The sequence below is a fragment of the Homo sapiens genome, chromosome 19 (assembly GCF_000001405.40).
Source record: "Homo sapiens chromosome 19, GRCh38.p14 Primary Assembly".
In the NCBI taxonomy this organism is placed as follows: Eukaryota; Metazoa; Chordata; class Mammalia; order Primates; family Hominidae; genus Homo; species Homo sapiens.
Window position 1 is genome coordinate 15,157,446 of NC_000019.10, and position 15,431 is coordinate 15,172,876.

The window sequence follows — 15,431 nt, forward strand, 5'->3', positions numbered from 1 at the left end:
GCAACTGGGGCTTAATCCCAAAGAGCATCCTTTGGGAGACTCTGTGGATCATATCCATGAATTCCCACAGAGAGTGGCGAGGAAGCTGGGGTATTTATCCACCATCTCTCATTCATCCCTCATATGTTGAGGGTTGCTCCTGCCCCACACAAGAGAAAGTTCCCAGGTGGAGAGTCTCAGGTGTTCAGTCAGATGCTGTCAGCAAGCACTAGAATGGTAAGTTCCAAGGGTATACAGGGGTGCACCCCCCATACATCCCTCAACTAGCCTGAAATTCCATAAAAGCAGAGACTGGGCCTATATAATTCACCATTCTATTCTCAACAACTTGTCCGGGAGTTGGCACACGGTAGGTGCCCAATACAGGTTAGAGGGTAAGGGAATAAACATAAAATAAAGTTGAGACAAACCTAAAAGAGACTGTTTCATCTTCAAAGACTTAGCCTAAAGGGGGTGGGAGAGGAGTAAACATTTATTAGAAGCTTCCACAGAATTCATGCTTCTGCAAACCTGATTGCCCCTAAATTTAGCACATCAGTAGTTCCAAAGAAGAGACTTTAAGACATGCTTTAAGACAACAACAGGTGTGAATCTGCCTCCCAGATGACAATTGGCAATGTCTGGAGACATGTTATATTGGTTGTCACAACTGGAAAAGGGGTGCTGCTGGTAGCTAATGGGTAGGGACCAGAGATGCTATTAAATATCCTACAATGCACAGGACAGCTCCCCACAGCAAAGAATGATTTGGCCCCAAATGTCAATAATGCCGAAATTAAGAAACCTTAGGTTAGAGGGTGGATACGTGAACCAATTGGAGTCAATAGAAAAATCAACCACAAGGTCGAGTGCGATGACTCATGCCTGTAATCCCAGCACTTTGGGAGGCCAAGGTGGATGGATCACCTGAGGTCCGGAGTTCGAGACCAGCCTGGCCAACATGGTGAAATCCTGTCTCTACTGAAAATACAAAAATTAGCCAGGCATGGAGGTGGACACCTGTAATCCCAGCTACTTGGGAGACTGAGGCAGGAGAATTGCTTGAACCCGGAGGCGGGGGATGCAGTGAGCCGAGATTGTGCCATTGCACTCCAGCCTGGGTGACAAGAACAAGACTCTATCTTAAAAAAAAAAAAAAAAAAAGGAAGAAAGTAAAAGAAAAATCAATCACAATACTAGGAGTTTCTCTCTTCCCTGGAAGGAGCAATATGGCACCTATTTTGATAACACAGAGAGAAGGCTGGAGCTGTGTGATGTCGGGAAGAGAGGTTCTACTGGGTGCCATGTGGAGCATGTAGATGAAACTGATGCCCAGAGAAAGCTGTAGAGATGAAGAGAAACTGAGCCATTGTTGACCACATTTGAGCCACTAGATCAATTCTCCCCTGAAGTAGGTCCTTTTAATTTATATGAGCTAATAAACCCCTTTCTTGTTTAAGCCAGTAGACTTTTGTGTCATTTGCAACCAGGAGCACTCCAACTGACAGAATCAACGAACATTAAATCCTATCCTCCTTTCCTGAAGACACCAGTGTAAACAGAACCTTGTCTTGGAGCACGACTGGTTGCGAGTAACAGAAACCCACCGAAGCTGGCACAAGTAAAGAAGTATTTATTACATGGGTCCAAGGTTATCTCCAAAACCCATAGGAGCATGAAGTAAAAGTGAAATTCATGCAGAACCATGATCAGATACTTAGAAAGCAATTAATAAATACCTGTTGATCTCAATGGAATGAACACTCAATTAACTGGAATTGATAACTGCACTGGGAGCCGAGATAACCCCCCCAGCCCTCAAGGAGCCATTTGAGCTCTCATTTCTGATTCTCCCTGAATATTAGCTTCATTCTTCTGCCCTGTTTGCTTGTCTCTTTGCCCACCACCTCGAATTGGCCACTGATATTTCTAAATCTGATTGTGACCTTAAGAGCTCCACCAACTGACAACTTTCTTAGCCTCTCCATTAAAGAAAGTTCTCGAGCAAAAGAATCTGATTGGCTCAGCTTAAGTCAGGTGACAACCACTAATCCAATCGGTAGTCATCTGCCAAAAGAGGAAGCATAAGTAGACTGGCAAGTCAAATGTATTTACCCCAAGATGGGAGCTCAAGTTAGCCCTGGGTGGGGGAGATAGAAGTCCCACTGCCACCACTCCCCACCTTACCTAGACACAGACCAACAACACTGAGTGTTAACTATTCCTTTATTAGGTGGTGAGGGGAGTGGGGGGCTGTACAATGCAGGGCTTGGGAATTCAGCTACACAGGGATTTTGACCAGAAGCCATATTACAAAAATAGCCTAAAAATACCTCTATTCTGCCATGAGGCTGGGCCAGAGGATTACCAGGAAGAGAAAGTACCACTCAGGCAGCTCCTCTTCTTGTAGTCCCACATTTACAGGGACACAAAGGAATGCATACATCTGCCCTGGCTCCCATTTCCCACCAGCAGCCCCCTAGTTCCCAAAGGGAGATGGCCAAGGGTGGGGCTGGGGCAGAGGGAGTTGGCAGTGGGCCCTTCCCCAGCAAGGCTATGGAACATGTCCCATCTGGAATGCAGTGAAGTGAGGGAGGTGGGGTGGGGAGGAGGCTCCCAACACTCCCCCGACCCCTGGCCCCAGTGGGTGCGCCCAAGGGTGCCTACTTGGTACATACCTGGGTCGTGTACTCGGTACACGGGATCCCAGTCATGCCTGTGTACTAGGTACACAGAATCCAGCTTGGCCGAATGGGCCCACAGACTCAGCCCCACGGGGGCACTGGGGGGTTCACAGGGGGAGGGAGCATCTCCATATATATATTTTGTAAAAAATAATAATAATAAGTTTGTTTAAATGAATTTGTTTCTATACAAAATGTAAAAAAAAAAAGAAAAATAAAAATAATAATAATTCATTCATGTCAGAGTGTAAGGAAATGAGAGGCCAGAAGGAGAGAGAAAGGAATGAGGGAAGAGAGAAGTGGGGAAGAAGGAGGTCCCAGACTCTTCACAAGACTGAGAGGGTGGGTGGTAGCCCCCACCCATTATAAATAAAGGAAGACTGAAGCCCTGGGCTGATGACCTATCTCGGTCACGCTGCAAGGCAAGGATGCAGGAGGGTTGGTGGAAAGAGAAGAGGATGAAAAAGACTAAAAGGAAGGAAGAGACAGAGAAAGAAAGGAGGCAGGACGGGGGTCTCTTTAGGCCCCCAAGATCTAAGAACTGACGAGCGTCTCAGGCCAACACTTGCCTCTTGGGGGTAACTTCCGGCTGGGGCCCCAGCTGGGTCTGGGCCTGAGCAAGGGAGCTGGGAACAGACAAGGGAAGTGGCTGGGCAGGCAGTGCCCCAGTGGTGGTGGCCATGGCCCCAGTGGCAGTGGCTGGGCTAGGCGTGGATTCGGACCAGTCTGAGAGGGAGGGAGGTGAGGGGCTGGCCCAGTGCTCAGGGGATTCGGGGGATGGGGTCAGGTAAGGGTGCTCACTGGGAACCCGCAGGAAGCGGGCCTTTGGGGGGCTGCTGTGTGCCCCAGCCGCCGGGTACTCCTCGCCATGTCCTGGGACTGCCAGGTAAGGCGGGGGCCGCTCCTGCGGGGAGACGGGGGTCCCTGGGTTGAGCAGCTGGGGTCCCGGCGCCAGTGGCAGCAGGAACGAGGGGCCTGGAGGGGCAGGTGGGGGCAGCCGGGCCCAATCGAGGGGCACAGCCACAGGGTTCAGCAGGCCCAGGCTGAGTACACATCCTCCAGGGGGCTGGCGCCCTAGACCCGCCCGGCCTGGGCCACCAAGCTGTGCCAGAGACACTGCAGTGGCAGTGGCAGCTGCATAGGGCCCCTCAAGGGGGAAGCCACCAGGGGAAGCAGGGGGCCCACCGAAAGGCCGCGGGGAGTCCAGCGAGTCCACGGGCGACAGCGTGACCGAGCTGTCAGCCAGGGGGCCCGGGCAGGCCAGCGTCAGCTTCTTGCCCCGCCCCCGGGGCCCCTGCGGCCCCAGCCCCGCCTTCCCGGGGGGCCTCCTGCTCTTCTTGGACCCCGACTGTGCCGCTTTGAGGCCAGGGAGGAAGGCCCCTGGAGGACAGAGCAGAGGCCCCAGGCCGTGGGGACCGGGGGGGCTGCGGGGCCCACTGGGTTGATCCAGCAAGCGCACGATGTCCTGGTGCAGTCTCTCCTGGGCTACGTCCCGCGGCAGCCTGTCCAGGTGGTCGGTGATCTCACGGTTGGCAAAGTGGTCCAACAGCAGCTTGGCAGCCTCATAGCTGCCCTCGCGGGCGGCCAGGAATAGGGGGGTCTCCTCCTGGGGGGCCAGAACCCACAGAGGTCAGCGAAACCCCAGCTAACAGTAGCAAAGTCTTCCAGCCTCTTGGGGGAGCCCGAGAGCTATGAGTTTGTACACTGGAGCTTGACAGACCTGGGTTAAATCCCGGCTGTGCTGGGGGAGCCTGGACAAGTTCTTTCCTCTAAACCACATTCATCCATCACCTACTAAGTGCCAGAGGTCAAGGCCAGGACTAGGGTGAGTTAAGCGAGGTACTCACCTTAGGCATAACTTTTTTTTTCTTGTCTTTTTTTTTTTTTTTTTTTGACAGAGTCTCACTGTGTCGCCCAGGCTGGAGTGCAGTGGCGCCATTTCAGTTCACTGCAACCTCAGCCTTCCGGGTTCAAGCGATTCTCCTGCCTCAGCCTCCCGAGCAGCTGGGACTACAGGTGTGCACCACTACGCCCAGCTAATTTTTGTATTTTTAATAGAGACAGGGTTTTACTACGTTGGCCAGGCTGGTCTCAAACTCCTGAACTCAAGTAATCCACCCATCTCGACCTCCCAAAGTGCTGGGATTATAGGCATGAACCACCACACCCAGCCATTAGGCACAAAATTTAAGGGGCCCCCAAAAACTTTAGTCACCAAAGTAAATTATATTTTAATCCAATGTTTGGGGTTTTATTTTGTTTTGTTTTTTGAGAGAGTCTCACTCTGTTGCCCAGGCTGGATTGCAATGGCACTGTGCCACTGCTGACACCCAGTGGACCAAGGGCTGGGGCTCACCTTGCTATCCTGCATGTCCTTATTGGCTCCATTTTTGAGCAGGGCCAAAGTGGCTTCCACGTTGTTCACAGCCGCAGCCCAGTGTAAGGCTGATTTCCCTGGAGGATGAAGGGGAGAGAGGTCAGGACCAGGCACCTGTCCTGGGGCCCCCATGTCAGGGAGGCAGAAATTGTCTAGAATGTGGCCTAGGGGTAGAGGAGGCAGGCCTGCCGTGAATATCCAAGTACTTGTGTCTGGATCCATGTGTGTGCAAATCTGCAAAATGACTCTGTGCAATGGGGAAGCACTTTGTGTCTGTGTGTGTGTGTTTGTGTGTGTGTGTGTGTGTGCGTGCATGTGCATGACTGTTTATACACAGGGGGTGCTGTGTGGACCTCCTTCAGTTGAACCTAGGGTTGTGACATCCAATACAGTAGTCAGTCACATGTGGTTTTTATTTATCCATTTATTTATTTTTGAGGTAGTGTCTTGTTCTGTCACCCAGGCTGGAGTCCATTGGCACAATCTCAGTTCACTGCAACCTCTACCTGCTGGGCTCAGGCGATTTTCCTGCCTCAGCCTCCCTAGTAGCTGGGACTACAGGCATGTACCACCATGCCCAGCTGATTTTTTGTATTTTTGATAGAGATAGAGTTCCACTATGTTGCCCAAACTGGTCTCAAACTCCTAAGCTCAAGTGATCCACCAGCCTTGGCCTCCCAAAGTGTTGGGATTACAGGCATGAGCCACCGTGCCCAACCTACATGTGGTTCTTTAGATTTAAATTTAATAAAATAGGTGCCAGGACCATTCAATGGGGAAAGAATGGTCTTCTCAACTAATGGTGCTGGAACAACTGAATATTCACATTCAAAGAATGAAGTTGGACCCCTACCTCACACTTTATACAAACACTAACTCAAAATGGATCAGAAACCTAAATATATGAGCTCCAACTATAGAACTAAACATCTAGAAGAAAACATAAGAGTAAATCTTCATGACCTTGAATTAGGCCAAGATTCTTAGATGTGACACCAAAACCACAAATAACAATAACAACTACAAAACAGATAAATTGGACATGATCAAAATTGAAACTTTTGGCCAGGCACAGTGGCTCACGCCTATAATCTCAACAATTTGGGAGGCCAAGGTGGGAGTATTGCTTAAGGCCAGGAGTTTGAGATCAGCCTGGGCAACAAAGTGAGACCCCATTTCCACAAAAAATTTAAGAATTACCCAGGTATGCTGGCACACACCTGTAATACCAGCTATTCAGGAGGGTGGGATGGGAGGATCACTTGAGCCTGGGAGTTTGAGGCTGCAGAGAGCCGTAATCATGCCACTGCACTCCAGCCTGAGTGACAGAGTGATACCCTATGTCTAAAAATAAAAGAAAAAAAAAGTGGTCCATCGACACAATGGATTATTATTCAGCTGAACTATGCTACAACATGGGTGAACCTTGAGAACATAATGCTAACTGAAAAAAAGGCAGACAAAAAAGACCACGTATCATATGATTACATTTATATGAAATGTCCAGAACAGGCAAATCCATGAAGACAAAAAGCAAATCAGTGGTTGCACAGGGCTGGACAGATGAGGGGCTTGGCAGATGATGGCCAAGTGGTGAGAATTTATTTTTCAGGTGATGAAATGTTCTAAAATTGATTGTGGTAATAGTTGTATGACTCTGATTATACTAAGAGCCATTGAATTGTACACTTTAAATGGGTGAATTGTATGGCATGTTAATTATATCTCAATAAAGCAGTTTTTTGTTTTTTGTTTTTTGTTTTTAAAAAAAAGGATGGACTCAGTGGCTCATGCCTATAACCCCAGCACTTTGGGAGGCCAAGGCAGGTGGATCACCTGAGGTCAGGAGTTTGAGGCCAGCCTGGCCAACATTGCGAAACCCCGTCTCTACTAAAAATACAAAAAAATAGCCAGGCATGGTGATGGGCACCTTTAGTCCCAGACACTTGGGAGGCTGAGACAGGAGAATCACTGGAACCTGGGTAGTGGAGGTTGCAGTGAGCCAAGATCACACCATTGCACTCCAGCCTGGGTGACAAGAGTGAGACTCTGTCTCAAAAAAAAAAATTAAAAAAAGGGCAACATAAGGAGAAAAAAATTAAATGAACTAAAACATTTACTTCTTCATTTGCCTCAGTCACATTTCAAGTCACTATATGTGGCCAGTGGCTACTATACTGGACAGTGCAGAGAATAATTCCATCATCACAGAAAGTCCTATTGGCCAGCCCTGCCCTAGAACTGTGGCTCTCAACTAGGAGAAACTCCCTGCCCCCAGCCCCCAGAGCATTTGGCAACGTCTGGAGACTGTTTTTTTTTTTTGAGATGGAGTCTGTCCCCCAGGCTGGAGTGCAGGGGCACAATCACGGCTCACAGACTCAACCTCCTGGGCTCAAACGACCCTCCCACCTCAGTTTCTGGAGTAGCTAGGGCCACAGGTATGCACCACCGCACATGGCTAATCTTTCAAAAAACTTTTGTAGAACCCACTATGTTGCCCAGTCTGGTCTCAAACTCCTGGCCTCAAGTCATCCTCCTGCCTCAGCCTCCCAAAGTGTTGGGATCACAGGCATGAGCCACCACACATGGCCTGATGTGTACGTTTATTATAATAACTTCCAGCAGGTGGAAGTACAGTGTGTCCGTCTAACAAAGCAGGTGGAAATGAAGTATCTAGGGGAAAGGCACCTTTTTCTAAATCCCTGAGGCACCCTAAGGACTAGTGGTGACCCTGCATGACCCTGCAGGCTTCATGAAGCCTGGTTATGTGTGCGTGAGCTTCAGTGATTGGGTCTCAACATGGGTATGAATTTGCACCAACATGACCCTCAGGGCCCAGGTGACACCAACCCAGCTTAGACTTGATTCCTCTGCCAACCTACCAAGCTCATCCACAGCATTGACATCAGCATGGCTGGCGATGAGCTCTTCCACCATGCCCTCTACTGCCAGGCGGGCCGCCAGGATCAGTGCCGTTGAGCCATCTGCCATGCGGGCATCCAAGTCTGTAGAGCGGTTTCGGATGAGAATCTAGGACAGAGAGTGGATGCAGCAGGAGGGGTCATGGCAGGAACAGAGGAATCAGGAGCACCCCTAAGTCCCATGAAGTCCCCAACCCCCATACCCCAACCCCTGAAATTGGTGAGGTTCAGGGAGCAGCTGCTTGACAGATACTGTATTCCCATATATCCCCATTTTCCAAATGAGAAAAAATGAGTCTGAAAGGCAGAACTGGGGCTCAAACCCAGGTAAGTCTAATGCCTGCCCCAGCTCTGAGGTCCAAAGTGTGTGCCTATCTCACCTGGAAGACACCCTGGGCATCGGCTGTGACAGCTGTGTGCAGGGGAGTGCGGCCTGAGTGGTCCTGGGCATTGGTGTCTGCCCCAGCATCCAGCAGCCGCTTGGCTGCATCAGCACGGGCATAACGGGCAGCCAGGTGCAAAGCAGTCTCGCCAGTACGGTCAGTCCGTGCCCCAAGCTGAGCCCCCTGGCAGATCAGGTCGGAGATGATGCTAGCTGATGTGTCATCTGCCTCATCCTCTTCAGTTGGCATTGGCTCCAGAGCCCCCCCACAGAAGGAAGCCAGCATTAGCGGGGTGAAGCCATCTGCAGGGACAGGAGTGTGTCAGCAGGAAGGTAAACACAGGGCCTTTTCCAGGAAATGTTATCAAGGGTACCCCATTAGGAGCTAATGGGACACATGGAAAAATGACAATTAGCAGATCCTCCTGTCTGCACACCCACACCCAGAATGAGGATTCGTGGGCACGTGATTTGTCACAGAACTACTCCTAGGGCACAGGGAACACAGGACAAGGGACTCTGGGAGTCAAGCAAGTGTGCAACCTCCAGTAAATTCCCAAAGGGTTATTCCACCTTGATCCTCCAAAGGGACTCTGGAACATGTGTTGTACCCCAGAGTTCTAATCCAACTCAAGGCAAAGAAACCATCCCCTTCATACTCCTGCACCCACTGGTTAGGAGCTGCCCCTTTCTGCCAATTCATTTGAGTGTTTTAAAAGGGGGGGGGAAAAAAAGAGCTGCCCCCAGGGACATAAAATCCCAGGCACTTCAGGCCCCAGCAGCCAGAGGGACTTCAAAAGAGAGCCATAAGTACAGGCCATTTGGAGCATAAGCAAAATGAAGCTAAGGCAGGAATGCCCTGAAACATAACAAAGATGGATCTAAGAGGATCAAACAACATAGTCCGCTACACTGCACACACTGTACACAAGCACTTGTCCTCATTTTTCTTAGGGAGCCACTTGCATCCGGTTCTCCATTCTCAAGCCCTGGGTAGAGACTGACCTCCCCGCTCCACCAGCAGACCCGACCCCCACCAGCTCAAAGACAGGTATGTGAATCAGGCTTGGTCAATTTGCATATTCCAGCCCCCTGGTCATACTGATTGGCTCAAGGATGAGCACGTGACCCTAGTCTGTCCAATCAGAATGCATCCTGAGACTTTTCTGGAGCATTAAGAAGGTTTTGTAAGATTGGAGTCAAAGGGTAGAGAGGGGAAAACTGAGTCCTGGATCCAAATGTGCCACTTTTAGTTAAATGAGTTGATAAATCCCTTGTTTTACTTAAGCTAGTCTGAGTTGGACCTTTGTCACTTCCAACCAAGAGTGTTGCTGAATACACACACCCTTCACAGAAGCTTAGAGACTCCCCCAGTTCTCCCCAAAACACAGAGTCAGAAATAACCTCTCACAGGTAGGATGGGTGAGGGGCATCCCTTTGGGAGGGGCACTGTCACTAACCTGGGCCACGCACATTGACATCCATGCCATCAGCATCTGCGTCGCCCTGTGGTGGTGTCAGTGCCATGGCTGGTGCCACGCGGATGTCAGCAGCAACCAGATGGTGTTGAGTCCACTGACGGCAATCCACAGCCTCCTCAGCCCCCATGCCTGGCTCCTCTACCTGGAGGGGCAGGCACCCTGGATCTCAGATCTCACCCTTTGGTGCTGGGGAGAGCCACTGCCAGGGATGGGGCTGGGCATTCCTACAGGTTTCTCTTTAGGAGATACACACAGAGCCCTGGGAAATCATTTACCATCTGTTTGGTGTTTTATTTGTTTTTGAGACAGAGTCTCGCTCTGTCCCCCAGGCTGGAGTGCAGTGGCATGATCTCAGCTCACTGCAACCCCCGCCTCCCGGGTTCAAGTGATTCTCCTGCCTCAGCCTCTGGAGTAGCTGGGATTACAGGCACATGCCACGGTGTCCAGCTAATTTTTTGTATTTTTAGTAGAGAAGGGGTTTCACCATGTTGGCCAGGCTGGTCTCGAACTCCTGACCTCAGGTGATCAGCCCCTCTCAGCCTCCCAAAGTGCTGAGATTAACAGGAAATCAATGTGTGCCATAGCCCAAGGAGGTAATAAAAGGAAGACACAAGGTTTCTTTTTTTTTTTTTTTTTGGTCTTTTTGAGTAATAAATGGCTTTAATTATTTATGTATATATTTTTTAGAGACTGAGTCTCACTGTGTCACTCAGGCTGGAGTGCAGTGCTGCAATCATACCTCACTGCAGCCTCAACTTCCTGGGCTCAAATGATCCTCCCACCTCAGCGGCCCAAGTAGCTGGGACTATAAGCACACAGTATAAGCAGATTGGGATAGCATCTGATCCAGGTTCAAGTTCCAACCCCACCCCTTAGTAGCTGGAAGGCTCTGGGCAAATCACTTTGAAGCTCTGAGCTTCTCATTGGCAAAATCAGGATGACGCAGCCATTCCACCATGCTAAGATACCACCACAATTACATTGGGCCACCCCTTTAATACCTCTAATACCTACTTTGGGATGGGAAGGCAGAAGGAAAAGTCTGGGTTGAGCAGGTTTTTTTATCTGTCCACTGTAATAGATGATTCCATTTCACAACATTAAAATATGGACAGAGGAAGGGAGTTTGTAAATTGAAGTATATGTCAATAGCTACTTTACAGCGTCCTCAGAGAGATGAAATAAGATGTTTTATGTGCATTAGAGACATTCAGCGGGTGCCTCAGTAATGCTAGCAGGATCTGTATGGACTCAATTGTGCCCCCTCTAAAAATCATACAATGGCCGGGCACGGTGGCTCACGTCTGTAATCCCAGCACTTTGGGATGCCGAGGCGGGTGGATCACTTGAGGTCTGCAGCTTGAGACCAGCCTGGCCAACATGGTGAAACCCCATCTCTACTAAAAATACAAAAATTAGCCGGGCATGGTAGCACATGCCTATAATCCCAGCTACTCGGGAGGCTGAGGCAGGGGAATCACTTGAACCTGGGAGGTGGAGGCTGCAATGAGCCAAGATCACGCCACTGCACTCCAGCTTGGGCAACAGAGTGAGACCTGGTCTCAAAAAATAAATAAATAAATAAACAGAAATCATACACTAAAACCCTAAATAATATATAAAATTTCCATGTGCCTGCATTTGAAGATAGGACTTTATTTTTAGACAGGGTCTTGCTCTGTTACCCAGGCTGGAGTGAAGTGATGCAGTCATAGCTCACTGCAGGCTCCAACTCCTGGACTCAAGTGATCCTCCTGCCTCAGCCTCCCAAGTAGCTGAAATTACTGGTGCAAGCTACCAAGCCTGGTGAGATAGGGCCTTTAAGGAGGTAATTAAGGTTATATGAGGTTATAAATGTGGGACCCTAATCCAATAGGATTGGTATCCTTACAAGAAGAGGATGGGATGTCAAATCTGTCTCTCTCTCTCTCTCTCTCTCTCTCTCTCTCTCTCTCTCTCTCCCCTCTGTGTACACAGAGGAAAGGCCATGTGAGGCTACAGTGAGAAGGCGGCCATCTGCACACCAGGAAGAGAGCCCTTACCAGGAACCAGCCCTGACAGCACCTTGGGCTTGGACTTCCAACCTCCAGAACCGTGAAAAAATTAATTTCTGTTGTTTAGGTCACCCATGCTGTGGGACTTTTTTTTTTTTTTGAGACGGAGTTTCGCTCTTGTTGCCCAGTCTGGAGTGCCAGGTTCAAGGGATTCTCCTGCCTCAGCCTCCCAAGTAGCTGGGATTACAGGTGCCCGCCACCATGCCCAGCTAATCTTTTGTATTTTTAGTACAGACGGGGTTTCACCATGTTGGTCAGGCTGGTCTCGAACTCCTGACCTCAGGTGATCCACCTCTGTGGGATTTTTTAATGGCAGCCAAAGCTGACTCATACTGAACCCAGGGGCATGACTCCATGAGCTCAGAACCGGCTCAGAGCACTTTCAGGCTAAGTCCATGCTGGACAAAATAGGAACTGACAGAGATAAGGCAGACTCGCTCTCTGGGCTGGGGGGACACCTCCAGGAAGAGTGCAGGCTGGCCAGGAAGCAGGATCCTGGCTGGGGAGGGGCAGGATGGAGGGGAGGATTTTCCACCTGCCCGGAGGGACCCTTGGGGCCCCAGTGGCAAATCTTCCTCCCTCTGAGGTCACAGAACCACACTGAGAAGAAAGGGTTGCAAAGCTGGGACTATTCTCTGGAGCTAGGGAGGTGGGGACAGCGGTGCCATCCCCTGATCACGCCCATCATCCACTGGGGACCCCACCCAGTACCCTGAGGGGAGGGGTCAGAGGAGGGGGCAAAGGTCAGAGGGGGGGCAGTACCTTTAGCCGCTTGGCCTCTGGGCACTCTGTGTCCATCCAGTCTGTGGCCACCTCCCCCATCAGGCTCTCACCCTTGGCCATGTTCCTGGCGGACAATGGGAAGAGGGGATGTGAGGGGGACACTAGAGGTGTCCAGCTGGGAAGGAGGATTTGGGGTGGGGTCAGAGGTCTGAGTCAGGTCAAGGCGGGGTCCAGGGTTCACAAGGTCCCCGTAGTCAGGGACAGGGAGCGAGCAGGGTTCTCACTTCATGCCCAGCGCGTCCTGGCCCACGGGTTCCCGCCGGCCCTTGTGACCAGAGGCCACGTCCTTGTGCAGTGAGAAGCCCTCAGGGAACCAGAGGGTGCTGTGCTCGCGCTTGCGCCGGGCCACCATGACACCCAGGACGAGAATGACCAGCAGCAAGACAGCGCCCGCCACTAGCAGTGGCAGCAGCGGGACGCTGGGTTCTGGAGGCTCCAGCGGCTCCCCTAAGAGCAGGAAGCAGAGGGCGGGGCTTCAGCCGAGGGCGGGGCTTTGGCCTCAGGCGGGGCTTCGGCCGCCCCCAGCTCCGCCCCCGCCACCCCCTCCCCAAGGCAGGGCCGCACCCCGCACGTCCCGCAGTGGGTACGGGAAGTCCAGGCGCTCCACCGCTGACAACGCTCCCAGGTAGTCAGCGGCGCTCTGGGCATCGGGGAAGCAGTGATCATTCTCAGGCGACTGCAGGCAGAGCCGGTTGTCAATCTCCAGCATTACTACCGAGCTGCAGGGACAGCAGGGAGGGACCAGAGGGCTCAAAAATTGCCCGATGCACCCCCTGGTACCAAGCCCCACTTTCCCTCCCCAGCGCCTGGCTCTGAAGCGCCATCTCCACCCACAGGTCTCCATGGCCCACCTGCATCCACCTGGCATCCAACCCCACTGCACCCCTAAAACGTGTCTTGCTGTGGTCAGCAGTCCCCCCAGAGCCATGAATCCAATGGATATTATTTTTTGATCTTGCACCGAGGCTGGAGTGCAGTGGTGCGATCTCGGCTCACTGCAACTTCCCCTCCTGGGTTCAAGCGATTCTCCTGCCTCAGCCTCCCAAGTAGCTGGGATTACAGGCGTGTGCCACCATGCCCAGCTAATTTTTTTGTATTTTTAGTAGAGACGGGGTTTCACCACGTTGGCCAGGCTGGTCTTGAACTCCTGACCTCAAGTGATCCTCCCTGCCTTGGCCTCCCAAAGTGCTGGGATTACAGGCGTGAGCCGCCACTGTGCCTGGCCTGTTTTTTTTGTTGTTTGTTTGTTCTGTTTTGTTTTTTGAGACGGTTTCACTCTGTCGCCCAGGCTAGAGCACAGTGGCGAAATCAGAGCTCACTGTAGCCTTGACCTCCCGCCTTCAAGCAATCTTTCCACCTCATTCTCCCAAAGATCTGGGACCACAGACATGTGCCACCACACCTGGCTAATTTTTGGGGGGGGTTGGGGGTGGAGGCATAGAGATTAGGTGTCACTATGTTGCCCAGGCTAGTCTTGAACTCCGGGGCTCAAGCAATCCTCCCACCTCAGCCTCCCAATGTGCTGGGTTTACAGGCCTGGGCCACTACGCCCAGCCAAGGGACATTGTTTGTTTTTTGTTTTTGAGATGAAGTCTTGCTCTGTCGACAGGCTGGAGTGCAGTGGTGCAATCTCAGCTCACTGCAACCTCCGACTCCCTGGTTCAAGTGATTCTCTGCCTCAGCCTCCTGAGTAGCTGGGATTACAGGCACGCGCTGCCACGCCCAGGTAATTTTTGTATTTTTAGTAGAGACGGGGTTTCACCGTGTTGGCCAGGACATTGTATTTGTTTGTTTGTTTGCTTGTTTTGAGACAGAGTTTCACTCTTGTTGCCCAGGCTGGAGTGCAATGGTGCTATCTCAGCTCGCCACAACCTCCACGTCCAGGGTTCAGGCAATTCTCCTGCCTCAGCCTCCTGAGTAGCTGGGATTACAGGCATGCGCCACCACGCCCCAGTAATTTTGTATTTTTAGTATACACAGGGTTTCTCCATGTTGGTCAGGCTGGTCTTGAACTCCCGACCTCAGGTGATCCACCCGCCTCAACCTCCCAAAGTGCTGGGATCACAGTTGTGAGCCATCACACCTGGCCTCTTCCTCTTTTTTGAGCTAATTCCATTCATCCAATCCTTAGGTCTCCGTGTCCCCAGATTAATTCTTCTGTTCCTTCTCTCCCCACTCCTTTGAGTCCCTCTCATGGCTTCAATGATCATCAACACTTTTATATCTTTCTTGTTTGTGTCTTTAGCCCCCAGGTATCTCCTTGGAGGCCTTCCCAATACTTCCAGGTCCCTCAGACTCTGCAAGCTCCAAAATGACCTGTTTTTCACTTTGTGGCCCTATCACTCAGCTTAGCCAGGGGCTGGTACACCAACCACTCTCCTTCATCCCTCTACCCCTCCCCTTCCACCACCCACATCCCAATATCTGCAAAACCCAACCCTCCTCTCTGTATCAGAGACCCACCCCTCTCAGGTCTCTGCCTTCTCCTCAACAATAGCTACACCTCCCTTCTGGTACCTCTACCAGGCCACTAGCAGGATACTTCTATATTTTTTCTTTTTCTTTTTTTTTTTTTTTGAGACAGAGTCTGGCTCTGTTGCCCCGGCTGGAGTGCAGTAGCACAATCTTGGCTCACTGCAACCTTCACTTCCTGAGTTCAAGTGATTCTCATGCCTCAGCCTCCTGAGTAGCTGGGACTAAAGGCATACACCACCACGCCTGGCTAATTTTTTGTATTTTTAGTAGAGACAGGGTTTTGCCATGTTGCCCA

At 51.0% G+C, this 15,431-nt stretch overlaps 1 protein-coding gene across 2 annotated transcripts in view, besides 1 other annotated feature; it reads right to left on the reverse strand.

Annotated features, from left to right (window-relative positions):
* Positions 1,593-15,431, reverse strand: part of NOTCH3 (notch receptor 3) — a 41,958-nt gene continuing 28,119 nt past the window's right edge. For both annotated transcript variants that reach the window (XM_005259924.5, NM_000435.3), the window contains 8 exons: positions 13,226-13,380; positions 12,886-13,108; positions 12,641-12,725; positions 9,804-9,966; positions 8,342-8,646; positions 7,923-8,070; positions 5,020-5,117; positions 1,593-4,269 (listed from right to left, as the gene is read on the reverse strand). In XM_005259924.5, the coding sequence (XP_005259981.1) occupies positions 3,217-4,269; positions 5,020-5,117; positions 7,923-8,070; positions 8,342-8,646; positions 9,804-9,966; positions 12,641-12,725; positions 12,886-13,108; positions 13,226-13,380 (2,230 nt within the window). In that variant the 3' untranslated portion in view covers positions 1,593-3,216. The remainder of the gene's footprint in view (positions 4,270-5,019; positions 5,118-7,922; positions 8,071-8,341; positions 8,647-9,803; positions 9,967-12,640; positions 12,726-12,885; positions 13,109-13,225; positions 13,381-15,431) is intronic.
* Positions 12,889-13,479: an enhancer, noted in NCBI's record as "H3K27ac-H3K4me1 hESC enhancer chr19:15281145-15281735 (GRCh37/hg19 assembly coordinates)". NCBI's record gives its function as "activates a minimal SCP1, AML or CMV promoter by ChIP-STARR-seq in naive H9 embryonic stem cells {active_cell/tissue: H9 hESC(naive)}" and the evidence as "EXISTENCE:reporter gene assay evidence [ECO:0000049][PMID:30033119]".